The sequence below is a fragment of the Homo sapiens genome, chromosome 3, assembly GCF_000001405.40.
Source record: "Homo sapiens chromosome 3, GRCh38.p14 Primary Assembly".
Taxonomy (NCBI): domain Eukaryota; kingdom Metazoa; phylum Chordata; class Mammalia; order Primates; family Hominidae; genus Homo; species Homo sapiens.
This window is the reverse complement of record NC_000003.12, coordinates 169829045-169856277: the sequence shown is the minus strand read 5'-3', so window position 1 is coordinate 169856277 and position 27233 is coordinate 169829045. Positions and strand designations below refer to the sequence as shown.

General features: G+C 40.6%; 2 protein-coding genes across 11 annotated transcripts in view, besides 2 other annotated features; one reads left to right on the top strand and one right to left on the bottom strand.

The window, feature by feature from the left end:
* LRRC31 (leucine rich repeat containing 31) overlaps positions 1–17106 on the top strand; it is a 30764-nt gene extending 13658 nt beyond the window's left edge. For 3 of the 7 annotated variants that reach the window (NM_001277128.2, NM_024727.4, XM_017007204.2), the window contains 4 exons: positions 1298–1465; positions 4492–4659; positions 7991–8158; positions 15965–17106. In NM_001277128.2, the coding sequence (NP_001264057.1) occupies positions 1298–1465; positions 4492–4659; positions 7991–8158; positions 15965–16296 (836 nt within the window). In that variant the 3' untranslated portion in view covers positions 16297–17106. Of the gene's footprint in view, positions 1–1297; positions 1466–2545; positions 3876–4491; positions 4660–7990; positions 8159–15946 lie in introns of those variants that run through there. The other 4 variants (NM_001277127.2, XM_011513159.3, XM_011513158.3 and 1 more) reach the window with 4 other exon arrangements.
* Positions 8959–9116: a silencer, noted in NCBI's record as "fragment chr3:169564950-169565107 (GRCh37/hg19 assembly coordinates)". NCBI's record gives its function as "represses an EF-1alpha promoter that drives an FKBP-Casp9 reporter gene in an ReSE screen in K562 erythroleukemia cells {active_cell/tissue: K562}" and the evidence as "EXISTENCE:reporter gene assay evidence [ECO:0000049][PMID:32094911]".
* Positions 17107–18504: 1398 nt separating the features above from the next.
* The window catches only part of LRRIQ4 (leucine rich repeats and IQ motif containing 4), a 24904-nt gene continuing 16175 nt past the window's right edge, over positions 18505–27233 (bottom strand). For all 4 annotated transcript variants that reach the window (NM_001080460.3, XM_011512749.2, XM_011512748.2 and 1 more), the window contains 3 exons: positions 25648–25786; positions 23095–23291; positions 18505–18799 (listed from right to left, as the gene is read on the bottom strand). In NM_001080460.3, coding sequence (NP_001073929.1) covers positions 18647–18799; positions 23095–23291; positions 25648–25786 — 489 coding nt within the window. In that variant the 3' untranslated portion in view covers positions 18505–18646. The remainder of the gene's footprint in view (positions 18800–23094; positions 23292–25647; positions 25787–27233) is intronic.
* Positions 19903–19982: an enhancer, noted in NCBI's record as "active region_20788". NCBI's record gives its function as "activates an Ori minimal core promoter by ATAC-STARR-seq in GM12878 lymphoblastoid cells {active_cell/tissue: GM12878}" and the evidence as "EXISTENCE:reporter gene assay evidence [ECO:0000049][PMID:35858748]".

The window sequence follows — 27233 nt, the reverse complement described above, 5'->3', positions numbered from 1 at the left end:
AAATATATATATTGAAAAGTTACTAGGAAATATAGCAAAATATAAACAGTGGTTGTGCTGGGGAATAAGATTATGGGTAATTGAAATCTCCTTTAGGCTGGGCACAGTGGCTTACATCTGCAATCCCAGCACTTTGGGAGGCTGAGGCAGGCGGATCACTTGAGATCAGGAGTTTGAGACCAGCCTGGCCAACATGGTGAAACCCCATCTCTACTAAAAATACAAAAATTAGTTGGGCGTGGTGGTACGTGCGCCTGTAATCCCAGCTACTTGGGAGGCTGAGGCAGGAGAAATTGCTTGAACTCAGGAGGTGAGGTTGCAGCGAGCCGATGTGGGTGACAGAAGAGACTCCATCTCAAAAATATATACATATTTTATATTTTATTTATTTTCTAAATATTTTATAGAGAACATACACTTTCATGATTATAAAAATAAGCCTTTAGTATGACTGACTCTGAAAAGGCCAGTATATTTTAGGTTAAGATAAACACTGGGAAAAATAAAGTTTCTTTGCTGCTAGAACTACTAGGTTTTCTCTTTTGAAAGTGTCAGCATTATTTTATGCTCAGTAGTAGGAAGGAATAGGTACTGATAAAAAGAACGGCTTCGATGGCGTCCACAGTTAAAACTTACTCCTCTGTATATAGTATCCATATTAACAGAGAATAGGAAATGATATTGTGTTTCCCCTTCAACTTACAGAACCTGTAATATTCACTGGCAGCTTGAATAAGTCTAAAAATCTATGTAAACTCCAATGCTCAAGTGTAATAGGAGAGGATGCTCAAGTGTAGTTGCAGGATTCATGTCAAAACCCTTGGCAATGTATGCAGATCTTAGGAAGCGTGTGTGTGAAATCATGGTCGGGTTCACAGAAGGCCAGATGGTAGGAAGTCTACACTTATTCCTCCTTTTGTCTTTTGTGAACACAGTGTGTTCCCTCAACCTCCCTTACTGCACCATGGCCCCACCCCTGTTCCACACCTTCTTACCACCTTGCGATATGTCAGAATGGTAGCAGAGATGGGGTTTCACCATCTTGGCCAGGCTGGTCTTGAACTCCTGACCCTGTGATCCACCCTCTCAGCCTCCCAAAGTCCTAGGATTACAGATGGGAGTCATCACGCCCAGCCCGGTTTTTCTTTTTTTAAGAGATGGATCTCACTATGCTGCCCAAGCTGGACTCGAACTCCGGGGCTCAAGCAATCCTCCTGCCTTGGTCTCCCTAGCAGCTGGGACTATAGGTACACCACTGTGTCCAGCTACCAGAATGGGATTCTGACTTTCTTTGTAGATGCTGCTTTTAGGTATTTGGGTGAGCTGAGGAAATTAGATCTTTCCTGCAATAAGGATCTAGGTGGAGGTTTTGAAGACTCGCCGGCTCAGTTGGTCATGCTAAAGCATCTACAAGTCCTAGATCTTCACCAGTGCTCACTAACAGCAGATGACGTGATGTCACTGAGTAAGTATATATTGCAGAGCAAAGGAAAGACTTTTGGAATCTTGGCCTATATTTGGAAACTTGGAAATTTTAATATGTACACTTAAATTTACTTCTTTTGAAGTTATTGGAAAGATCAATTCATAACAGTTCTGTGAGTGCCCCAATGTAGTACTTGGCATGTATTAAACGCCCAGTAAATGTTAGTGAATCTCAGTTCCACCCATACATGTCTGCAAATGATAGATTTGGCACTTAGGGAAAATTTTGAATTTATGTTGCTGTTTAGAAATAAATCTCTTAGTGTCACAAAGTTGATTACAAACAGGTTACATACCTGTAACCAAACGTCAACACAAAGGGTATCGAGGCTTTCTGAATAACAAGTGAAGTGAAGCCACTCAGATACAAATGAAGTTACAGAAAAAGAGTCAGCAGGGTGGCGCGTGATGGCTGTACGTTACTGCTTTGGGCAACTACACTTATTTTCCTACTGCAAACATAGTTCTGTAATTACAACATGTAATATATAAATGCAATTTCCCATAACAGAGCAAGCGTAGCCTTGAGATTAAGGGTTTTATCCCACCTGTGGCCACAATAAGCCTTCAATGTACATCCAGCATCTGACCATGGCTCACCATCTAGACCTCCACTACCCTGGTCCAGGCCACGGTTATCTCATGCTTAGATTATTGCAAGAGCCCAAATGGTCTCCCTGTCCTCTAACACTCTGACTTCATTCACTCCCCCTCCTCCTCACAGACTCCACCCTGGCCACTGCCCTTGCTGATTCTCAGACACGCCAGGCATGCTCTGGCCTTGGGCCCTTTGCCCATGCTCTCTCTCCCCAGGTCATGGGCAATTCCAGGCTAGAGGTGTCTCGTTTGGCATCTCCCCACTGCTCAAGCACAGGCACCTGCACATGGTTGGCACCAAGTAAATGCATGTTGAATATGTGAATGAATGAATGAATGAGTGTACAATGAGAATAAAAGTAAGTTTCTGGTTGTTTATAGTACAATTTGGGGAGGAAGACCGTAAAATATGTTTCTAGGTCTAATACATCTATCTTTTTAAACCTGCTAAATTATCTTTCAGACTCTTATCTCTCAATTTGGGAAAATGGGAAGAATTCAAGACTTTCATGAAGATTTTAAAATGACAAAATAATCCCTTTTTGAGCTTTGCGTGGAGCATTATGGGTTCCTACCATCCCCTTTACTTATCATAGCCTGAGCGTCATACCTAGGAAGACATTCAGAGTTATTAGCCCACCAGATTCCCTTGGTACAACTAAATAACATGAATACCACATCTCATTTTGCTCCTCAGTGCTGGAGAACCTCAATTGTTCCCACTAGTATAACGGAGGACTAAGCTTTCCTTACCTAGGTTCACAGCCACTGACATGGGTGAATGGCCCTGGAAAACTAATAATTATTTGATAACTGTAATGAATTGCATTGCTTTCCTTCTGCTTAATTCTGAAAAGATGGAAATGAAAATACATCCTGCTTTGTACTTTACGCTGTTAAATAATTGAACATTCTTTTATCCGATCATTGTAAATTGCTCCAAAGAAATGGAATTATAGATCCTTTAAGCAATAACTACTGATGAATCCTCTAATGGTGTGGGGCACCGTGCCAGGGGCTACAGAAAATCCCAACTCTCAGGGAGCTTCGGTATGGCAAGGGCAGGAGTAAACCGATGCATACCCAAACTACATGGTGAAATACAAAGTGCTGAGGGGGTTGGAAGAGGGAGAAATAGTTACACCTGTTGACTTTACAAGTGCCCATCTATCTGCCTTCCCTGCCTTTCCCCTTTCTTTCCCCTGACCTCTCTCCCTTCTCCCACAAACATTTGTACCTCTGATGTTTCAGGTACTGATTCCCATTCTGGGAGTGAGATAGTTCCTATAACGCAGAGCTTGCCTTTAGTGAGGGAAGACAGAAAACAAATATATCAACAAGAAAATATCACATAATGCTGGGTGCTGTGAAAATAAAATATGGTGATGTGATAGTGACCAAGGGGTTACTTTGGTGTGGGTGACCCTGGAAGGCTTCAAGGAGGTAAGCCAGCTTTGTAGAGATCCAGCATACTGCATTTTCTGCCTTGGTAATAGTTGGGGCAAAGGCCAGAGAAGTAGCCAAAAGATAGCGAACGAGGGTAATTCCTAGCTGGGCCCCTCAGGACCCAGTGCCGTTACCAATAGGTGTCTGTTCTGATGGCTTGTTTTCATTGCCTTACTGGTACTTACATTCTGAGAAAAGAATTATAATTTCAAACATTAATTGAGCAGTTAGTATGTGCCAGGCACTATACCAAGCACTTTACCTTTACCAAGTCATTTTACCTTCCCAATGACCACTTGAAATAGAGAAGGCTAAGAGTTTTTTTTTTTTTTTTTTTTTTTTTTTTTGAGACGGAGTCTCACTCTGTCGCCCGGGCTGGAGTGCAGTGGCGCAATCTCGGCTCACTGCAAGCTCCGCCTCCCGGGTTCACGCCATTCTCCTGTCTCAGCCTCCCGAGTAGCTGGAACTACAGGCGCCCGCCACTGCGCCCGGCTAATTTTTTTTTTTTTTTTTTTAGTAGAGACGGAGTTTCACCGTGTTAGCCAGGATGGTCTCGATCTCCTGACCTCGTGATCCACCCGCCTCAGCCTCCCAAAGTGCTGGGATTACAGGCAGTGAGCCACTGTGCCCTGCCGAGAGGGCTAAGAGTATTAGAGTTGAGAAGGCTAAGGTTCAGAGACGTTAATTAACTTGTCCAAAATCACACAGTTCTTTAGTAGCAGATCCAAGATCTACTTCTCTGTCTCCACAGCCTTTGCTCTTCTAGCCTGAAAAGGGGCTTGGAAGTAAGAAAGCCCAAGCAGCATGCTGGGAAGAGGCTGGTTTGGGGTGTATAAAGGAGGGAGGGCCGGGGTGGGGAGAGCTGTATTGACTGACAGATTAAACAGATTGTGGGAACCAAACACCCAGAAGACTCCCTGTGAGATGGTGCCTAAAACATGTCACTGTTGATATTTTTAACAGCCCAGGTCATTCCTTTACTTTCAAATCTTCAAGAATTGGATTTATCAGCCAACAAAAAGATGGGCAGTTCTTCTGAAAACTTACTCAGCAGGCTCCGATTTTTACCAGCATTGAAGTCATTAGTTATCAACAACTGTGCTTTGGAGAGTGAGACTTTTACAGCTCTTGGTAAGAGATTTCCCAGATCCCTGCAGGAACCATGCAATAATGTGCGAGGGAGACTTCTTTTTCCCTGCATTTCATTCCAAGGCTCAGCCAGTTTGCGAAGTACTAATTTGTCTTCTTTTCAGGACATATGCCTTCTTAAAAGTGACCTTCTGAAAGTCCATAAAAATGATTCTAGTATGTGCAGGGTTTTTTTTGTTGTTGTTGTTTGTATTTTGAGACAGATTGTCACCCAGACTGGAGTGCAGTGGCGCGACCTTGGCTCACTGCAACCTCCGCTTCCCAGGTTTAAGTGATTCTCCTGCCTCAGCCTCCTGAGTAGCTGGGATCACAGGTGCACGTCACCATACCTGACTAATTTTTGTATTTTTAGTAGAGACAGGGTTTCACCGTGTTGTCCAGCCTGGTCTCAAACTCCTGACTTCAAGTGATCCACCCTCCTGGTGGATCATGCCCACCTGCAGGACATGGTGAGGATCTGGGATCTGATGGGAAAGTGAGCCATTTACTAGAGTGTGAGCCTAGCTAACTGCCAAGCAATCACTCCCAACAGGATTTATGTGCTGTCTGAGGAATCTGGGTATGCCTTAAGGTCACAGATATACCCCAGCCTACATCAGGAACCTACTGAATCTGAAAGTTCTGCCCATTTGGTGACAAGTTTAGTGTCAGCAAGTAAAGGGAGGTGGTGTTGGGGACCCCAGCACTGTGTGCACAAACTACTGTTTCCCTGGGTGATGGATTTGGAAAAGTGCTACCAAGTCTCTTTGTTTCAAAATATCTCCTCTTACTTGCTGACACTGCACTTGTCACCAAGTGGGCAGAACTTAACAACTGACATTTATTGAGCATATCCTATGTGCCAGGCCCCTTTCCAAGAACTTTACATGCATTCACCAATTTAACTCTTATAACTGTATAAGGCATGTGCCATTGTTCCATTTTATATTTTGCAGACAAGGAAACTGAAGCACAGAGATGTTAAGTACATGAGGTAACCCAAGGTCATAAGAGCCAGAGGCAGGATTTGATTTCAGGAAGTCTAATTCCAGATGTTTTGCATACAGAAAATGTACCATACTCTTCCCCACAGAATAACTGTAATCAGTTTTAGGGAGCTCACAGGCACCCCTTCAAGCATACCTAGACTTGTCTGGTGGGTCCATGGGCCCTAGAACAGCAGGGCTGAAGGCTACGTATCCTGGGACTTTTCCCCATCCAGACATGTGGACAATGGGATGAATGATGCTGAGGGAGTGCTGGGAGCAGGACATGGTGAGGACCAAGTCTATGCGAGCTGAGCAAAATACTCGAGCTGAGCAAAATACTCAGGCTGAGCCAAATACTCAGGCCGAAAAGGAGGGCAAGAATGCCCTAAATATAGAGTTCTTCAAATTTGGGGGTAAATAATATGCATTTATTTTTATTAATGTATAATAATAATTACTCATTTTTATGAATTTAATGCATTTATTTCATTAATAATAGCCCTTGTCTGGTGGACAGTACAATTCATTTTTAAGGAAGTGCCAACTGATAAAAAACACTGGTGAGAGGGTTGGAGAGAAGGACTCTGTTTTTAGCATTATCCAGGAAGCACCCAAATCCAGCAACTCCAATCACGTGTATGGGGGCAAAAAAGAGTTAACGTAGCAGGCCTGATGCTGCTATCCCTGTAAAGGCCTGCTATCAACCAGTAAGGCTGGCCCTTAGCTAATATCCCAGAACTTGGAATCTGGGGGTGTTCATACCATTTCCTAACTGAGAAGGGTGGTTTACTGTGCCTAACCTGTTTGCACAGACAACATGGTTTATGCTGAACATGAGCTTTTCTTTTGTGAGGATGGAATTTTGGTGTATGCTGAGCGGAGGGTAGCTAGATGACTAACCCCCAGTAGAGAACCGTGGACTTGGGTCAGGCACAGTGGCTCACACCTGTAATCCCAGTACTTTGGGAGGGTCTTGCTCTGCTGCCCAGGCTGGAGTGCAGTGGCACTATCATGGCTCACTGTAGCCTTGAACTCCTGGGATCAAGTGATTATGCCATCTCAGCCTCCTCAGTAGCTTCTGGGTCTATAGGAACATGCCACCACACCTGGCCAATTTTTGTATTTTTGGTAGAGATAGAGTTTTACCATGTTGCCCATTCTGGGAAAATATTTTTTTTTTAAAGGAATTGCAGCCATTAGAAGGCACAGCTGTTTCTAATTCTAGCTGCACAATCAATGAATCATGATCAACTAGGTATCACACTAAATTATATCATCTGACATAAATCTACCATTCAATTTGAATTAAGTAAATGAAGCAAATATATATTTCCCTACATCACTTTTAGAAGAAAAAGTTCCATTTCTCCTTAATGTAGATCTCTGTAAGGATTTTCTTACTAGATATTATAAAAGGATATATATTTTCCCCTTGAACACATTATTTTCTAGAAGGAAGGCAGAATAGATTAAAGTGCAATTAACTTGGGAATAAGATATTCTGGTTAATTTTAACATTGGGGGCAACTGAGAATTAAGCAGAAAATCTTTTACTTTTCTTTAAAAATCTTTCCAAAATACATTAGTTACTTTCCTTGCCTGCAGTAATTGCGTGAAGTAAATACAAATAAGTTTTGGTATTTCAGACTCTGAGGGAGGCTTGCCCCCATCTGAATCTCAGCAGTGACTGTGCAGTGAAATATGTACCAACCAGGACACATTCTGGAAATCTTGACTAGCTGTCCAAGCACTTTGCCTCTTTCTCCTTCCTACATGTGAAGTGAAGGAAAGAAACCCCAGTTGGACAGTGAATTCCAATTTATCAAGTTTTGCATTGCTAAAGTTTCCAATATTTCCCCAAATAAAAACAGACAACAGGCTGGGCGCGGTGGTTCACGCCTGTAATCCCAGTACTTCGGGAGGCCAAGGCTGGCGGATCCTGAGTCAGGAGATCGAGACCATCCTGGGCAACATGGTGAAACAGCGTCTCTATTAAAATACAAAAATAATTAGCTGGGTGTGGTGGCACGCACATGTAGCCCCAGCTGCTCGAGAGGCTGAGGCAGGGGAATCACTTGAACCCGGGAGGCGGAGGTTGCAGTGAGCCAAGATCGCGCCACTGCACTCCAGCCTGGTGACAGAGCAAGGCTCTGTCTCAAAACAAAAAACAAAAAACAGACAACATAAATTGAGGCCATAAATTTAAGGCAGAAGAAAATGGTCTCTACAACTTTCTCAACCCCAGTTATATTCATGTGTTGTCCTAGACCAGTTTCCTCAAATCCAAAGCCTATGATCTGTAAGAAATCCTAAATTACTGCTGTTCGTATTGTTATCACTTTTAGCTGAAGCCTCTGTTCACCTCTCTGCTCTGGAAGTATTCAACCTTTCTTGGAACAAGTGTGTTGGTGGCAACTTGAAGCTGCTTCTGGAAACACTAAAGCTTTCCATGTCTCTTCAAGTGCTGAGGCTGAGCAGCTGTTCCCTGGTGACAGAGGATGTGGCTCTCCTGGGTGTGTATCTACTTGTTCCCAAGCGGTCTTGGCAAACAGAGCAGTGGGTGCGGCCCCTGCAAAGCACCAGGTGGGGAGGTGGGGGAGGTACCAGACCTGGGGTGAAGCCCTCTGTGCAGATTCCCTTCTCACCAACATCTGCCGAGAGGTCTAATTAAAATGAGCGAAGGCAATTCTAAAACCACATGACAGTGGAAGGCATTTCCTAAAAGGATATGGATATAGATAGGTGGGGAGGTTCCTGAAAGGCAAACAGCTCTGTTCCACACCTCCGCGGTCCGTGAGTGTTCCCACTTCAGTCATCTACATCTCACCCATCCACATGGTTCCAGCACTATTGCTTAACTTTTCCTTTAAATTGACTCTTTAATTTAAATGCTTTTATTTAAACAGGAAACTGATTATCACTGTAACTGAAATACAGGTATCACTTCTCACAGATACTAGACTGCTGATGGCTTTGATTAGAGGCTCCTCTCTATTAGAAAAAGATGAGAGGGTTAAAGGCATACTGTAGTAACAATCTGACCCTTTTTCCATGTCAGTCTAGAAAGATGGAAAGATAATTGAATAAGGAATAACTTTTGCACTGTGGGATTGAGGCTACCCAAATATTCCCTAAAATCATTTTATGTGTCTGGGCACGGTGGCTCACGCCTATAATCCCAACGCTTTGGGAGGCCGAGGCTGGCGGATCACTTGAGGTCAGGAGTTCAAGACCAGCCTGACCAACATGAAGAAACCCCATCTCTACTAAAAATACAAAATTAGCAGGACATGGTGGCACATGCCTGTAATCCCAGCTACTCGGGAGGCTGAGGCAGGAGAATCACTTGAACCTGGGCGGCCGAGGTTGCAGTGAGCTGAGATCGTGCCACTGCACTCCAGCCTGGGCAGCAGGGGCGAAACTCCTTCTCAAAAAACAAAACAAAACAAAATAAAAAACTCATTCTATGTTTCCACTTTCCCATTATAAAACAATGAATCAGAGAGTACTCTCTCTGGCTCCCATCTAGCCTTGTCCCCACACTCCAATCACTATTCAGCCGGAATTCCAAAGCAATGAGCGCGCCTCCCAATGAAGGGCCAGAACAGTCACTCCAGGTAGTTGTATCTGTGTTCTCAGTGTATATATTAGTCAGTTTTGCTATGACACGGCACATGGGCCTAAAAATCATGTGTTATGCAAGAATTATTCAGTAATAACCACAGGACTTACGGTTGGAAGCACCGCACTCAAACACTTCATCAGTGGCATATTTTAAAAAACAGAAGCTATGAAAAATAGCAATACAGTTTTACATATTAAATAGTTAAGAAATGAGCAAATATTACATTTTCCCGAGAAAGACCTGAAGTTTGTAGAAGTGGCCTGTCCACACTTCCATTGGTGGAAAGAGGGTGTGTGGAGAGATGAGGGTTGTTGTCCTCATGAGGTGTGTGCATGTCTGCATTTTCTTTCTTTTTTTTTTTAGACAGAGTTTCACTCTGTCACCCAGGCTGGAATGAAGTAGCATGATCTTGGCTCACTGCAACCTCCGCCTGCCATGTTCAACAGATTCTCCTGCCTCAGCCTCCTGAGTAGCTGGGATTAGAGGCATGCCACCACGCCTGGCTAATTTTTGTATTTTTGGTAGAGACGGGGTTTCGCCCTGTTGGCCAGGCTGGTCTCAAACACCTGACCTCAGGTGATCCACCCGCCTAGGCTTCCCAAAATGCTGGGATTACAGGCGTGAGCCACCGTGCCCAGGCTGTTTATTTCTATATGCAGCTCAATTCAGCTGGGGACAGTTTTATATGTTCACCTAGTGTTTCCTGTGGACAAATTGTGTGCATAATGCAAACAAGAAATTTGCATTATACTCAGATTGTTTCCTGACATTTCAATCTCATTGAAATAAACTTGTGTTTTCAAAACAAGTGTTATAGCAAAAATGATTGTAATTAGAAGATGGGGACAAAACATTGTGATTTTAATTCGCATTTCCCTAATGACCAATGATGTCAAACATCTTTTTATGTGTGTATTTTCATTTCTTAGCTCCTTTGGTGAAATGTCTGTTCTAAATCTTTTGCCTGATTTAAAAAATTGGATTGTTTGTTTTCTTATTGATGAGTTTGGAGAGTTTTTTAGATTTTTCTGAATACAAGTAAGTCCTTTATCAGAAATATAATTTGCTATTATTTTCTCTGGGTCTGTCCCACTGGCTTTTTCATTCTCTTGATAGTGTTTTTTTGCAGATCAAAGCTTTCAGTTTTGATAAAGATTTATCAATTTGTTAATTTGATGAATAGAGTTTTTTTGTGTTGCATCTTAGAGCGTTTTGCAAATCTAAGTTCTCAAAGATTTTTTCCATATTTTTGTCTTAAAGCTTTGTATTTGCATTTTATATTTTGACCTATTACCTATTTTGAGTTAATTTTTATATAAGGTATGAGGTATGGGTAGAGGTTAATATTTTTGCATATTACTGTCCAATTATTTGAGTGCCATTAACTGAAAAGACTATCCATTCTCCATTGATTTGCCTTTATATTTTTGTGAAAAATCAATTGGCCATATTTGTGATGGCCTACTTCTGGTCTCTCAGTTCTGTTCTATTGATCTCTGTGTCTCTTATTTTACCAATATCACGCTGTCTTGATTGCTGAAACTTTATAGTAAGTCTTGAAATGAAGTAGTATAAGTATTCTTTGTTTCTTTTTCAAAATTGTTTTGGTTATTCTAGTTACTTAGCATTTCCATTTAAAGCTAGCATCAGATTGTCAATATCTATTTTAAAAATCCATCTGGAAATTTTATTGGGATTACATTGAATTTATAGATCAATTCAGGGAGAAATGACATCTTAACAATATTGAGTATTCCAATCCATGAACACAGTCTATCTCTGTATTTAAGTACTCTTTGATTTCTTTCACTGGTGTTTTCTAGTTTTTATATTTTGTTAAATTTATATCTGAGTGTTTAATTTTTGTTCTCTTATAAAAGATACTGTTTAATTTTAGATTCCCAATGTTACGTGGATATATAATTGATTTTTGTATATTGACATTTTACTGCAAACTTGCTAAACTCATCTGTTAGCTGTAGGATATTTTTGGTAGATCCTGTAGGATTTTCTATATAGATAATCATATCATCTATGATTAGAGACAGGTTTTGTTTTGTTTTTTTTTTTTTTTTTTGAGATGGAGTCTCATTCTGTCACCAGGCTGGAGTGCAGTGGCATGATCTCGGCTCACCACAACTTCCGACTCCTGGGTTCAAGCGATTCTCCTGCCTCAGCCTGCTGAGTAGCTGGGACTACAGGCATGTGCCACCACTCCCAGCTAGTTTTTGTGTTTTTAATACAGACGGGGTTTCACCATGTTGGTCAGGATAGTCTCGATCTCCTGACCTCGTGATCTGCCTGCCTCAGCCTCCCAAAGTGCTGGGATTACAGGCGTGAGCCACTGTGCCCGGCCTAGAGACAGATTTATTTCTTTATCTCTGTGTATCTTTTCTTTCTTTTTCTTGGTTATTTAGCTGGCTAGATTTCCAATAGATGTTGAATGAGATGAGAGCATTCTTGCCTTGCTTCCAGTCTTAGTCCCCTAAGCTAAGGGGAAAAGCATTCCATTTTTCACCATTAAGTATGATGTTAGCTATAGGTTTTTTTGTAGCTACCCTTTATCAGGTTAAGGAATCCTAATTTGCTAAGAGTTCTTATAACGAATTTTGTCAAATTATATTTTTCTGCATCTATTGAGATGAGCATTTAAAAAAACTATAGTTCATTAATATTCATAATAATAATGAATGATAATAATTAATAATATTAGCTGATTTTTTAATGTTAAATCAGCCTGGTCATGGTCATTATGTATTATCTTGTTTATATAGCGTTGGATGTTATTTGCTAATATTCTGTTGAGGATATTTGTGCCTATGTTCACAAGGGGATAATAGTCTACTGGTTTTCTTATAATGTCTTTGTCTGGCTTTGTTATGAGGGTATAGGTAGCCTCATACAATGAGTTGGAAAGTGTTCCTTCCTCTTTTATTTTCCAGAAAGATTGTGTAAAATTGGTATTATTTATTGCTCAACTGTTTCACAGAATTCACCACTGAAGCCATCTAAACTTGGAATTTTCTTTGTGGGATATTTTAAATTACGAATTCAATTTAAAAAATAGAGATAGAAAAAAAATAGAGCTAGGACTATTCCAGTTGTCTATTTCTTCTTAAGCAAGTTCTGATAGTGTCTTTTAAGAAATTGGCCCATTTCATCTAGGTTGTTGAATTTATGGAAATAAAGTTGTTTCCTTGTTATCCTTTTACTGCCCATAGTGATACCACCTGTCTCATTCCTGATATTGATAATTTGTGTTTCTATCTCTTTATTCTTGGCTAGTCTGACCAAAGGTATTAGTTTTCTGTTGCTGTGTAACATGTTAATTTGTGGATTAAAACAATATCCATGTATTTGTTCACAGTTCTTTTTAAAAGCTTATATAAATGTGAGGGGCACCAGTGCAGTTTTGTTCCATGCGTATATTGTAGTGGTGAAGTCTGGGGTGCTGATGTAACCATCACCCAAATGAATAATGCATCATTAAGTAATTTCTCATCCCTCACCCGGCTCACAGTTCTGTAGGTAAGAAGTCTGACACAGCTTGTGTCGGTTCTCTGTGTAGGGTATTACAACACTAAAATCAAGGTGTCAGCCTGGCTGAGTTCTCATCTGAAGGCTCTAGGAATAAATCCACTTTCAAGCTCATTCTTGTTGACAGAGTCGAGGACCTTGCAGCTTTAGGACTGAGGGTCCCGTTTTCTTGCTAGCTCTCAGCTGGGGGCTGCTGTCAGCTACTAGAGGCCAGCCACATTCCTTGATACATGGCCCCTCATTTTCAAGACAGGAGTGGATTGTCCGTGCCTCTCACACTTTAAATCTCTCTGACTTCTGTGACTTCCTTCCTCTTCTGCCAGCAGTAGGAGGAAATTCTCTCTGCTTTTAAAGGGCTCATGTGATTAGGTTGACTCCATATGGATAATCTCCCTTTCTTAAAGTCAGGTGTGCCATATAGCCTAAGCTAATTCTGGGAGCAAAATCTACCACATTCAGTCCTGGGGATACAATGGAAATCTTAAGGTGGCTATTTAGAATTCTGACTACTGCAAGGGGTTTATTGATGTTGTGTCTTCTAAAAAATAAGCTTTTGATTTTTATTTATTTATTTCTCTGAATTAGACACCATTAAATATATTTAAGTTATTTTATTTAATGTTTATAATTAAAATTTGCTTCTTCATTTCGGTCTTTTTTATTTTTGTCTGCATCAAATTTTATTCACCATGTCTTCAGCCATTGTATATTTTTTCTTAATTTTTACTGACAGTTTTTTTCTCAGGTCAAATTTATACTTTTACATTTTATCAGGGTATATTTTCCTTCTTTGAATTTTTACTCAATAACAAGTATTACAGGCCAGGCATGGTGGCTCACGCCTGTAATCCCAGCACTTTGAGAGGACAAGGCAGGTGGATCACCTGAGGTCAGGAGTTCGAGACCAGCCTGGCCAACATGGTGAAACCCTGTCTCTACTAAAAGTACACAAATTAGCTGGGCATGGTGGCAGGTGCCTGTAATCCCAGCTACTCGAGAGGCTGAGGCAGGAGGATCACTTGAACCCGGGAGATGGAGGTTGCAGTGAGCTGAGATTGCGCCATTGCACTCCAGCCTGGGCAAGAGAGCAGACTCCATCTCAAAAAAACAAAAACAACAACAGCAACAAAAAACAAGTATTACTATATGTGGTTTTAGCAATTGTCACTTTTATATTTTTTCTAATAGAAACATTAAAAATTTGTTAATCACTAGCTTATATACATTTTAAAAATAATTAATGGCATTTATTTTTTCATACAGTAAACTATAAAGAGTATACCCATGGCCTACATTTCCCCTACCTAGATTTTTTAAAATGTAATAAATCTAAAATAATAAAATATAATAAAATAGGGTGCTCACATTATAAAATCCAAACAAAAAATAAATTTATTTATTTATGTATTTTATTTTATTTTTTTCTGAGAGGGAGTCTTGCTGTGTCACCCAGGCTAGAGTGCAGTGGCACGATCTTGGTTCACTGCAACCTCCACCTCCTGGGTTCAAGCAATTCTCCTACCTCAGCCTCCCGAGTAGCTGGGATTACAGGTGCCCGCCACCATGCCCAGCTCATTTTTGTATTTTTAGTAGAGACGGGGTTTCACTATCTTGGCCAGGCTGGTCTCGAACTCCTGACCTGGTGATCCACTCACCTCAGCCTCCCAAAGTGCTGGTATTACAGGTGTGAGCCACCACACCCAGCCTAAAATGTGTTTTTAAAAAACAAAAAAGTAGAAGAAAGGGGACTAGATGAGGCAAGATTGATGTAATGAAGATAATGTTGAAGTTGAATGATGGGTACATGGTGGTCCACTTTCTCCTATTCTCTCTACTTTTTGTGTTTGAAAATTTTCATAATACAACATTTTTTAAAAGAGAAAAAGCGTGCACATTGTTTTAACAGTTAGGTCTTGAGAATATTATGATTAATGTTGCGAGACAGGAAGGGAGACACACACTGACATGAACACCTAGAGACAGAGTGCAGCTGTTGTGTGCACGGGTGGCTGAGCTCTCAAATTCACTGTGGAATCAAACTGTTGGCAAGTGAAAGTGATGGAGTTGGAGCATCCTCCTTGATCTGAAAGCCATGCGTGTGAGGAAAGACTGAAAGACCAGGGCATGTTCAGTCCTACAGGGATAAAGTTTAAGGGAGACCTGGCTGTTGTCCAACACTGCAGGGCTGCCAGGAGGAAGAAGGAGCTGAATGTTACAGCTGACTGATTGGGGCACTGGGTGAAAGACACCAGAAGATAGATTGGGGCCCTGTGGGAGGGCTTCCTCCCGCTAGGAGCTGCTCCATAATGCTGGGGCAAACTTGAAAGAACAGTTCAGCCAGAATTGTGGTGGTCATGAGTAGAGAGGCTGTGAAAAGGATTTCTCTCTGATTATTGATTAGGAGGTTGGATAAGGAGACTTCCAAGATCCCTTGCAACGCTGAGATTCTATACAACCCACCTGATCTCTGCAATCCATTCCTGGGTTTGGTTGAAAAGGGAAGCATGTCCCATTTTCCGTGGTTATCTCTCCTGCCTCCTCTTACAGAAGTCTTTATTTCATCATTAACTTATTTATTTTCTGATCAAATAGCTCAGATTGTACATTAGTCATCATTTTTAAGTGCCATTGTAGGTAGTACTGATATGTTCTATTCAAAAGGAAAACTGTCACATGTATTGGGGTCTCTAAGGTGAATTGGAAATTATCCAGGTATGTTCTGCATATGGAAAATGCTCATTTAAATAATTGCTGGATGAAGAAGTACTGAATGAATGAAAATGAACAATTAAAGCAGCAAGATGATTATTTACAAATGGTCCTTAGTTAAAGCCAATGAGCCATCACTCTTTACATTTAATTAGAGAAAATCTGTAGGAAGAGCTCGGACTTCAGTGGAACAGAGAGCAGGAACTTGACAAAAAAAAATTATTGGGTTGAGATTTGGAAAAAGAAATAAAAAAAGCTGTAGATGGGATGTACAGAGAGGAAATCTGTTACTAATTTCAGATGTCCTGAATAAAGCTGCTAATAACAAATCATTACTAATTACTAATCTTGTCATTACTATTCCTGGAGATAGTGTTATGGGAAATGGGAATAGCCATGGCAGACAGTATTCTTGTATGTTAGCATTTAGAGTGATTCTGTTTTCCAGCATCGGTCATACAGACGGGTCATCTGGCCAAACTGCAAAAGCTGGACCTGAGCTACAATGACAGCATCTGTGATGCGGGGTGGACCATGTTCTGCCAAAACGTGCGGTTCCTCAAAGAGCTAATCGAGCTGGATATTAGCCTTCGACCATCAAATTTTCGAGATTGTGGACAATGGTTTAGACACTTGTTATATGCTGTGACCAAGCTTCCTCAGATCACTGAGATAGGAATGAAAAGATGGATTCTCCCAGCTTCACAGGAGGAAGAACTAGAATGCTTTGACCAAGATAAAAAAAGAAGCATTCACTTTGACCATGGTGGGTTTCAGTAAACTGATTTCCCATGTCCTACTAAGCTACAAACCATTCTCCAAAGGAAAAGAACATGAACGAATTCCAGAGTCATGAACTGAATTTCAACTTCTGGGCCATTTAATGGGACTTATATTACAAGAGCTTTGTAAATATATATATATATTACATATATATATGTAATATACATATATACACATATATATAATATACATATATAATACACATATATATGTAAATATATATATAATATCTAATATGAGCATGCCATTATTCTCTGTCTATGAAACAAAAATGGCATTTTTCAATGGATTTGTTTTGGATATATAATTAGTTCATTTGCTGTTTAGAAGCCTTGCCAAAAGTGTTTAGATTTTGGTACTGCAACTGCTTTCCTCTTGCCCAGAAATGTTTTGCCTCTTCTTTTCCTACAAGTTAAATGTTCTAAATATAAAGGGGTATGTGTGTGTGTGTGTAATTCTAATGTGAAAGGCACTAGCTGTCTAATAGTTTCATGTATCATTACTATTACTATATGTATCTTAATGTAGTCTATGTAGGTTTTTATCAGAAAGTGTACCTTTCTATGGTTTATTATTTTATATTCTGGTGCCTTTTATCTCAGATATAAACCATGAACAGTAATGATAGTCACTGACATATAAATCTTAGTAAAAAGTGATTAAAAATCTAAAACTCAGTATGAAAAACATATCTTGTTAGAATAAATTAAAACCTTTTATTGTTTAAAAAATTGTTAACATATTGCCTCCAGGCATTTCTTTGAAATGGAATTTGCTTCATAAAACTAATTTAATTCGTTAATGACAGTTTTGTGTTGCTCTAAACTATTTTTGAAATTTTTGATTTTCTTTTGCTAGAGCATGAAAGTCATTGCATGGCAGAGATGTTTGTCTGCACATTTCTATTCTGACAAGCTCTAGTCAAATTATGTTTTGCTTTCTTCTACTACACTAATAATTAGTATTGCAATCACTGCCTGAAAGACATGCAAATGTAAAATCAACACTACTCCAAATTAAAAGGTTTTCAGGATGAGGAGGTTTTGAATGATGTAAAGGGGATATTTTGGGTTACATGATATAAAAGAATACCATGAATATCATGAGCATTCCCATGCATTCCATGAGTATCTATGCATATGCAAAAACCTATGCATGAATGTTCATAGCAGCTTTGTTCACAATAGCAAAAAAACTAGAAACAATGAGTGAAAGGTTAAACAAACTGTGGGACTATGGAATACTCCTCAGCAACAGAAAGGAACAAACCACTGATACATGCCCCCAGTTCGATAGACTTCAGGTGGATTAGGCTGAATAAAAAAGCCAATCCCAGTTACAAACTGTGTGTTTCCATTTATGTGACATTCCTAAAATGACACAATTATGGATCTGGAGAACAAGTTAGGCATTGGGAGAGGAGTAGGCAGTAGGTATGGCTACAGAGGAATAGCACAAGGGAAACTTGTGGCAATGGAACAATTCTATGTCTTGACTGTGATGGTGGCTGCACAAAACTATATGTGACAAAATTGCATAGGATTACACAAACACACACACACAAATGAGTGCACTGTTGATTGTACCAATGTCAATCTTCTGGTTTTGTTATTGTGCTATAGTTATAAAAGAGGTCAGCGTTGAGGGAGGCTGAGTAGTGCCTGGACCTACCTGAACATTTCTTTGGAACTTCCTGTGAATCTATAATTATTTCACAGTAAAAGTTTTAAAAGTAGGCTGGCTGGGTGCAGTGGCTCACGCATGTAATCCCAGCACTTTGGGAGGCCAAGGCGGGCAGATCACTTGAGGTCAGGAGTTCGAGACCAGCCTGGCCAACATGGTGAAACCCCATCTCTACAAAAAAAATATAAAAGTTAGCCAGGCATGGTGGCATGCACCTGTAGTCCTAGCTACTCGGGAGGCTGAGGCATGAGAATTGTTGGAACCTGGGAAATGGAGGTTGCAGTGACCCAATATTGCACCACTGCATGCCAGCCTGGGCAACAGAGTGAGATCCTGTCTTAAAATAAATAAATAAATAAAAGTAGGCAAATAGTATAAAGAACCCCTGCGTACTCATCACCTTATTCTAGTTATCAATGTACGGCCAATCTTGTTTCACTTGTATTCCTACCCACTTTCCCCTCCCCCTCCCATATTATTTAGAAGCAATTCCAAGGTGTTATATCATTTTATCCATAAATATTTCAGTAAAAGTAAGAATCATTTATTTTTACACATAAGTGTAATTTTATGAATAATTTTAATGTAGTAGGCATCTAATTCCTAGATATTTTGTCTTCTTAATCTATCAAGGTCCATTACCCCAATTTATCAATTTACAGGATTATTTCTTTTTTCCCTTTCCTGGTTTTCCTTTTACATCCTTCTTTCCTTTCTTATCTTTTGGAGAGGTCTTTCCTTTCTTTTGTGGTTTTAGTAGTTCACCGAATTTCCCAAATCCTCTCTGTACCATTGTTCCACGCCACCATGCCTGAATCTGAAAACAAGATAAACCCAAATTCAGCATCGGCTGGTATCACAATGAACTGGAAATTGTTAAATCTCTTTATTCTGATACATGGTCTTGAAGACGTGGAGAGAATGGGATGTGATTAGAACTCTAAATTTTATTTTCTATCTTTCTCAATTGGCTAGGCATTCAGACAAATTTTTTAAAAAATGCATTTATTGTTTTTATGTGCCAGTGCCTGTTCTAGACTTTTGGGCAACAGCAGAGAAATAACTGTCTCAACTTTATGGAGCTCACATTCCAGTGAGGAAGAGACAGTACAAAATAAACACATGAATGTTCAATTTGTCAGACGGTGATGAGTGCTATGGAGAGTGACCGCACATGGTGAGGGGATCTGAGTGCCTACGCCCTGCCTTCCTGCTCCTTACTGGGCTGTCTGTGCTCCTGCCTAAAGCCAGCCCTCACTTGTTCCCTGGATCCTATTCCCTCCTACCTACCCAGCAACACCCTTCCTCTAGCAGCAGACTTGTCCAGTGGCTCCCCATTTCTCTCTGAATAGAAGCCAAAGTCCTTATATGGCTTACAAGGCCCTCTCTGATCTGCCTCCCCAATCCTGACCCCTCTAACCTCTTAACTCCCTTTTCCCTGGCTCACTCTGCTCCAGCCATGCGGGCCTCCTCCCTGCTCAGACACATAGGCACAGTTGTGACTCAGGGCCTGTATATTCGCTGCTTTCTTTGCCTGGAACTCTTCTCAGTATTCAGATGGCTCACCCCTCCGCTGCTTCAAGGATTTGCTTGATTGTCATTGCTACGGACTGAACTGTGTTGCCCCAAATTCATATGCTGAAGTCCTAATCCCCAGTGTGAATGAATTTGGAGAAGGGGCTTTGAGGAGATGATTAGATTTATATGAGGTCATAACAGCAGGGTCCTCATGATGAGATTAGTGGCCTTATAAGGAGAGATATCAGAGAGTTAGCACTCTCTAGTGCAATCTCTCTCTCTCTCTCTCTCTCTTTCTGTTATATGAAGACACAGGGAGAAGTCAGCTTCTACAGGCCAGGAAGAGGGCCTTCACCAGACTCCAATCATGCTGATACTCTGACCTTAGACTTCCAGCCTCCAGAACTGTGAGAAAATACATTTCCATTGTTTAAGCCGCCTGTTCTATGGTATTTTGTTGTGGCAGCCTAAGCTAAGACTGCCATTTTTTCAGTGAGGCCTACTCTGACAATCTTATTTAAATCAACCACTTCTCCACCTCCACACACTACTGGCAATTTCAGTTCCCCTTAGGCTAACTTTTTTTTTTTTTTAAACAGTAGCACTCTCTAACATAGTATTTCATTTTATGTTTTCTATTTCATGCTTTTATTTCCCTCCTACTAGATTTTAAGTACTGTGAGGACATAAATATTTGTTTTGTTCACTGATGTATCTCAATGCTTAGAACAGTGTCTGGTGCATAGTAGAAGCTCAATAAATGTTTGTTGAATGAATGAACAAATGAAAGAGGTGGCTGGGGGTATGCTGTTTTATATAAGGTGGATCAAGGAAGGGCTCTCTGATAAGAGAATGTTTAAGCAGAGATGGAATGAAGTGAGGGCCAGAATCTTGCTCATATCTGGGGAAAGCATCTCTGGGCACAGGAAGAGCCAGTGTTAAGGCCCTGAGCCAGGAACATGCTTGGTCCTTGGAGGAACACCAGATCTGCTTGTGACTGAAGTCCAGTGAGAGTAGGAAAGAGGAGATGGGGAGTGAAAACAGCAGACCAATCGGGATCCAGGGAACAGCACTGCTCTCTAGAGGCATTTTGGAAATTTATGGGGCTTTTTGTTGACTTAAGGTTAAGCAGTCTTCAATTGTGTGGCCTATACCCTGGTCTACAAAGCCTTTCCAACAGTGTGCAGGCATGGATAGGTTGAAGACAGTCCATTTCCTGAGCTCCAGCTTCCATATGTACCCCTTCCTAAAATCATCCCGAGAACATAACTGCAGATCCCCCATCCCAGTTGCCCCTGTGATGCTCCACAGAGGAAGGGCACAGCTTGCACCCACCTGAATCTTACTATGGTGCATTGCCCTGGACTCCAAAAATCATTAGGACACACACACACACACACACACACACACACAGAAAAAGACAATTCAAAGTACAAGTGTTGATGAGAAAATGAATGACTCTAGGGACTGGTTAACCAATCCTTTTGCAAGACAGGTGGTTTCTAATTCTACCTTCAAGAAAAATAAGGGAAGCCTAGTTGACATGTCAGCTAAGACCTGCTATCGATTTGGGGGATATAAATCTGGAAGAAGCTCAGAGATGCATGAATCATTGTTTTTTTAAAATAAAACATTACAGGCAAAAAAAGCTTCTTCTGTTCTCTTTAACTCATCTACGTGAACAAGGTTTCTCAAGGCTTTCATCTGTAAAATGAGAAACAGGAGTAGAATCTATAATCAACCCTGTGTTATTCTAATAATCATCAATATTTATGCATGAATATATAAACTATGCTAAAAAAACCCTCTCATTTTGGTACACTGTTCTAAAAAATCCTATATGTCTAATAATTATTAAAATTTGTAAGAAATTTTATGTTGTTTTAGGTGATTTTATACTAATAGTTGTAATGTATATACATTTTTAAATTTTTAAAATTTAATTTATATAAATATTTTTGTCACCTAGAAGTACAAAAGAGCAATCTATGAAAGACTTATATGTGTATACATAAAACCTTAGGATCAATTTTGAGGGGAAAGTAGAATGGAAGTACATGTTTAAGAAGAAAAGGAATATGATATAAAAATTCTGCCTATAAAATAATAACTTGTTTGAGTATTTGTAAATTGGTGTTGACAAATCATAATGATATTCAGTTTCCACTGGATACATTTAAAATATTGATCTAACAGCTCTATTTTAAAATGTCAACATTTAAAATTCACTGGAAATTACATCCTTTGCAATGATTTAAACTTGTGGCCAACAATGTTAAATATCATTTTAAGAACGTGCAAGAGGGTGCACAGTTTTTCAAAATGCTTTTAGGAAGTATTCAATTAAGAACCACAACTTTCATTCTTTCAAGTGTAATCCATCCTGAGCATATACACACTGAAATAATTTATTCATTTATTTTTGGAGACAGCTGTTGCCCAGGCTGGAGTGCAGTGGCACAATCTAGGCTCACTGTAACCCCCGCCTCCTGGGTTCAAGCGATTCTCCTGCCTCAGCCTCCAGAGTAGCTGGGATTACAGGCACGCACCACCATGCCCAGCTAATTTTTGTATTTTTAGTAGAGACAGGGTTTCACCATGTTGGTCAGGCTGATCTCGAACTCCTGACCTCAAGTGATCCACCCGCCTCAGCCTCCCAAAGTGCTGGGATTACAGGCGAGAGCCACCGCGCCAGGCCTGAAATATATATTTGTATATAAATTACTTTTCTTTCTCCTTTAAATTGTAACTCAGGCGTTATTTTGATTAAAATTATGTCCTTTTGTATGTTTTTATTATCTCTGAATTTATTTTGGAATAGTAAAAGAGGTATTACAAAAGATTTATCATAAAAGGGAGGACATTAGGTCTGATAGGGTTGAGGGCTATTGAGAGGGGGTTTTACGGACTGAAGACTTGACTCTTACTCTGAGTGTAATGGAGGATTGCCAATTTCAGTGGAGCATCAGTGCAACTGCTGAGCAGAAGGTATGTTGTGGGGGGCTGGCATGCAAGCAGGGACAGTAGTCAGAGGGCTTATGTAGTTATCCGGCTGTGAGATGATGGGGACTTGGGCCAGTTGGAGAATAAAGAACACTGGCTGAAGTGGACACATTCCAGACCTGTCCTACATCTCCATGGGCTCAAAGGGCTAGAGCAGAATTACAAGGATCTCAGCCTTTTGATCCTTATTAATGGCAGCTCAGAACCCTGGGCTCAGCCTCTCATCTATAAACGCTTTCATTTCTAATTTTCTAAACTTATTTTACTACTTTTGTTAATACAAACTTTTTTCATTCCAATGAAATAGTCCACGAATTTTAGATTGTTGGAAATGTTGAAGTTTTGGTTTCCTTTGCCTATTTGTTGGCTTCTTATTGGACAAAGAAATAAGGGACATAAAAGACAAAAATGCTAGGGCTGACATTTAAAAATCTTCTTACTTAGCCCTGGGGACATAAAAGTTACCAAGTAACTTCTCTTTTCAGAAGCAGGACAAGGGTGTAAGGAGTTGCTCCGTAGGATAATCTGTACTGTGTTTACCATTAGACTCCCTCTAAAGCAACTGTTATCAAGAATCTGGGCTGATTTTACCTTTGTTGCCATTATATTCCTGTTTCTGTTTTCCTTGAGGTATTTCCATATGGCCTCATTGCCTTCAGCACACACTTCTTTTGGGGGTTCTTCCATGGGATTGTCCATCAGTGTCAGAACCTTAAGATTCACTAGGGAATCCAAATTCTCTGGAAGATGGGTGAGCAAGTTGTCCTCCAGCCGTAATTCTTTCAAAGCTGAAAAGATTTTTTCGTAATGGTGGTTCAATCTTAGAAGAAACAATATTAACTTGTCACCTAATCCTGTCCACATAGGTGAGGGATCCAATTCTGCATTTGCAAAGGGAATGAGAGGAAGGATGCACAAGACCCGACAAAACTTTTTCTACCATCTAATAAAAGTTCTAGCTCTATGTTTGCTCCTTCTCAAAATGAAGAGAACAGAATTCAGTCTCCAGATATTCCAAATGTTTTGTTTGTTTAGAGCAACAGTTTTTAGCTGAAACTGACAGCCCACTGGGAAAAATCACTCTCAGACCCTGCTGTTCCTAAGGTCAGCAGACTATTGATTTTTTTTTTTTTTTTTTTTTTTGAGACAGAGTCTCACTTTGTTGCCCAGGCTGGAGTACAGTGGCATGATCTGAGCTCACTACAACCTCTGCCTCCCAGGTTGAAGCGATTCAAGTGCCTCAGCCTCCCAAGTAGCTGGGATTTCAGGTGCACGCCACCACACTTGGCTATTTTTTTTTTTTTTTTGAGACAGAGTCTAGCTCTGTCACCGAGGCTGGAGTGCAGTGGCGCCATCTCGGTTCAGTGCAGCCTCCGCCTCCCGGGTTCAAGTGATTCTCCTGCCTCATTCTCCTGAGTAGCTGGGATTACAGGCACCCACCACCAAGCCCAGCTAATTTTTGTATTTTTAGTAGAGATGGGGTTTCACTGTATTGGCTAGGCTGGTTTCGAACTCCTGACCTCATGATCTGCCTGCCTTGGCCTCCCAAAGTGCTGGAATTACAGGCGTGAGCCACCGCGCCTGGCCTACAACTTCTTTATAACAATTCAAAGTTGTTGAAGCCAGTGTCCATAAATATTAGAGACAGAAAAATAGAAAACACTGAAAAATTTTGAGAATATTTCACTCCTCCAGGGACCAAGGACAGGATAAAAATTTATGGTCAGGAGCATTACTAAGGATTACTGCATACAACCCCTTGTCTCCATTTTTTTTTTCTTTTTTTTTTTAAATTTTTTAACTTTTATTAAAACGGAGTCTTGCCCTGTTAACAGGCTAGAGTGCAGTGGTGCAATCTCAGCTCACTGCAACCTCTGCCTCCCGGATTCAAGCAATTCTCCTGCCTCAGCCTCCCAAGTAGCTGGGATTACAGGCACGTGCCATCACACTCAGCTAATTTTGTATTTTTAGTAGAGATGGGTTTTCACCATGTTGGCCAGGCTGGTTTGAACTCCTAACCTCAGGTGATCTGCCCTCCTCGGCGTCCCAAAGTGATGAGATTACAGGCGTGAGCACCGCGCCTGGCCTTGCCCCCAGTTTTTGAATGCCTTATGAGTAGGCATCAGCTTCCACTCTCTCCATTCTTTTTTCATTAAAGAATAACTATAGTTTGGGCCAGGCACGGTGGCTCACGCCTGTAATTCCAGCACTTTGGGAGGCCAAGGTGGGCAGATCACGAGGTCAGGAGATCAAGACCATCCTGGCTAACACAGTGAAACCCCGTCTCTACTAAAAAAAAAAAAAAAAAAAAAAAAAAAAAAAAAAAAAAAAAAATTAGCCGGGCGTGGTGGCGGGCGCCTGTAGTTCCAGCTACTCAGGAGGCTGAGGCAGAAGAATAGCGTGAACCCGGGAGGCAGAGTTTGCAGGGAGCCGAGATCACGCCACTGCACTCCAGCCTGAGCGACAGAGCGAGACTCTGTCTTAAAAAAAAAAAAAAAAAAAAAAAAAAAAAAGAATAGCCATAGTTTGAAAACATGTGCATAAGCCTAGGATTCAGAAAAAAAAAAAGAAACATTTAAAATCTGGTCCCAGTGGGTGCTCAGCAAAAGCATATTAAGTGGATGGATGAATGTACAGACAAAGAATGGCTTAGTGTAGTGGAAAATGTTTGGCTATTTAAGTAGGAATCATATATAGTTTTCCAGGTCAATTATGTAGCTCCAAGAAAGTCTCCTGCTAATTTCACCACTCTGGGCCAATACTTTTTCTTTTACTCAAGTGACTCCGTGACCTAGATGAAATTTACTGCAGGATCCCAACTCCAAATTCTGGCATGTAGTAAGTGTACAGTAAATTATTGTTGGTAGTGTAATAAATGTATGGGTAAATGCTAATTTTCTTAGCAGTCGCTATTTACCTTTCCATTTTAATAAATGACTTAACTGCCTTTGCAAGACTCTTAGCTATACTAATCAGGACACCTGGCCTCCCCCATGTCGCTAAGTGAGCCCTGCAAGGAAGTAATGGGATAGACTCAGTTCTCTGAACACTGAGATAGGTCTTTAGCAAAGCAAGGAAGCCATTTGCCATAGGAAATGCTGGCCACAAACTCTGCTAGGCTGTGAATCTACTAAGTTTCCTCACCTTGTGCTTGGCAAATGGCATCTGGAAGTTGCTTAAGCAAATTGTGCCGGCAATCAAGAACTTCTAGGTTAGGCATTGACCCCAAGGATACGGGCAGGTACTCCAGATGATTGTTCTCTATATATAGCTCTTTGAGACTCTGAAATAACATGAGTGTACCATAATAATATACCTTGATTAATTAATTATAATAACCAGAATCACCTGTGGGTGCTCATGCATTTTTTTTTTTTTTTTTTTTTTTTTTTTTTTTCACTTTCAGTGGGGAAATTACGCATTGAGTTAAGGGAAAAAGCATGTCTAAAGGACCATCATCAAGACCCAAAATTATTTTTGAGTAAATCCATTAGACTTAGTTTCCATTTATGCAGGGAAAAGAGACTACAGACATCTAGTGCTTATTTGTTTCACCAGAACTTTATGGAAAAATAATTTGAATAATTTAACTACATTTATCATTAACTCCTTTTTTAATAGCTAATTGTCTGTGGCAGTTGCTACAGAATGATAATTGCCTCAACTATCAACCCAATATTGCCTCAGTGAAAGTAGCCAAAATGCACAGGGAATGGATTTGAATGTATTCAAAATAACTATTTTCAACTTCACTGGGCAAAAATCTAATGTTTGTACTTCACCCTAAGATTGTGGCATGACAGGTACAAAGGAAAAGCTGATGAAAGGTGTTCTATGAACACAGGGCAAAGGAATGGAGAATTAGGAAGAGACACCCTGTGTCATAGTGAGAACTACCTATGCTGTGCATGGCATTGCATGACTGGGGTTATGTGGTGGCCCACGCCTACTTTATCATCATTAAGAGTGCAGCAGGTCAGACACGGTGGTTTATGCCTATAATCCCGGCACTTTGGGAGGCCGAGGCAGGTGGATCACCTGAGGTCAGGAGTTCGAGACCAGCCTGGCCAACATGGCAAAACCCCGTCTTTACTAAAAATACAAAATTAGCCAGGTGTGGTGGTGGGCGCCTATAATCCCAGCTATTTGGGAGGCTGAGGCAGGAGAATCGCTTGAACCCGGGAGGTGGAGGTTGCAGTGAGCCATTGCACTCCAGCCTGGGCAACAAGAGCGAAACTCTGTCAAAAAAAAAAGTGCAGCAACAGGAACATGAAAAAAAAAAAACAGTTCTTTAAAGGATGAATATATGAAGACACCCTACTATGGCTACTTTGAATGAAGTTATCCTGTTGCTTTGCAAGTATTCCTCACAGCCCTGCAGATCCAGGAAGCTGGTGCAACATGATTTCCCTTTTCCAATCAGGGAGAGAGGTCACACTTCCCCTTACAGGAAATCCTGGGCACCAAAATGTAGGCTCCCAGCATGTCACTTGTATGATACTCTTTAACTTCAAAATAGTCCAGTTTTCAGGGGGCTACTTATAAAAAGTGGAAATTAAATGGAAAGAGTTATGACTCAATTTCTGCAAATGAAACACACCAAATCACACAGTGGAAAGAAGTATGGCAGGACATATCCAACAGCAATCACAATGAAATGTTGAAGAGTTGTTCACGGACAGTGGAAACCTCAAAATGTAAAAATGATTGCTTGTCTGAAGCTGGAAATC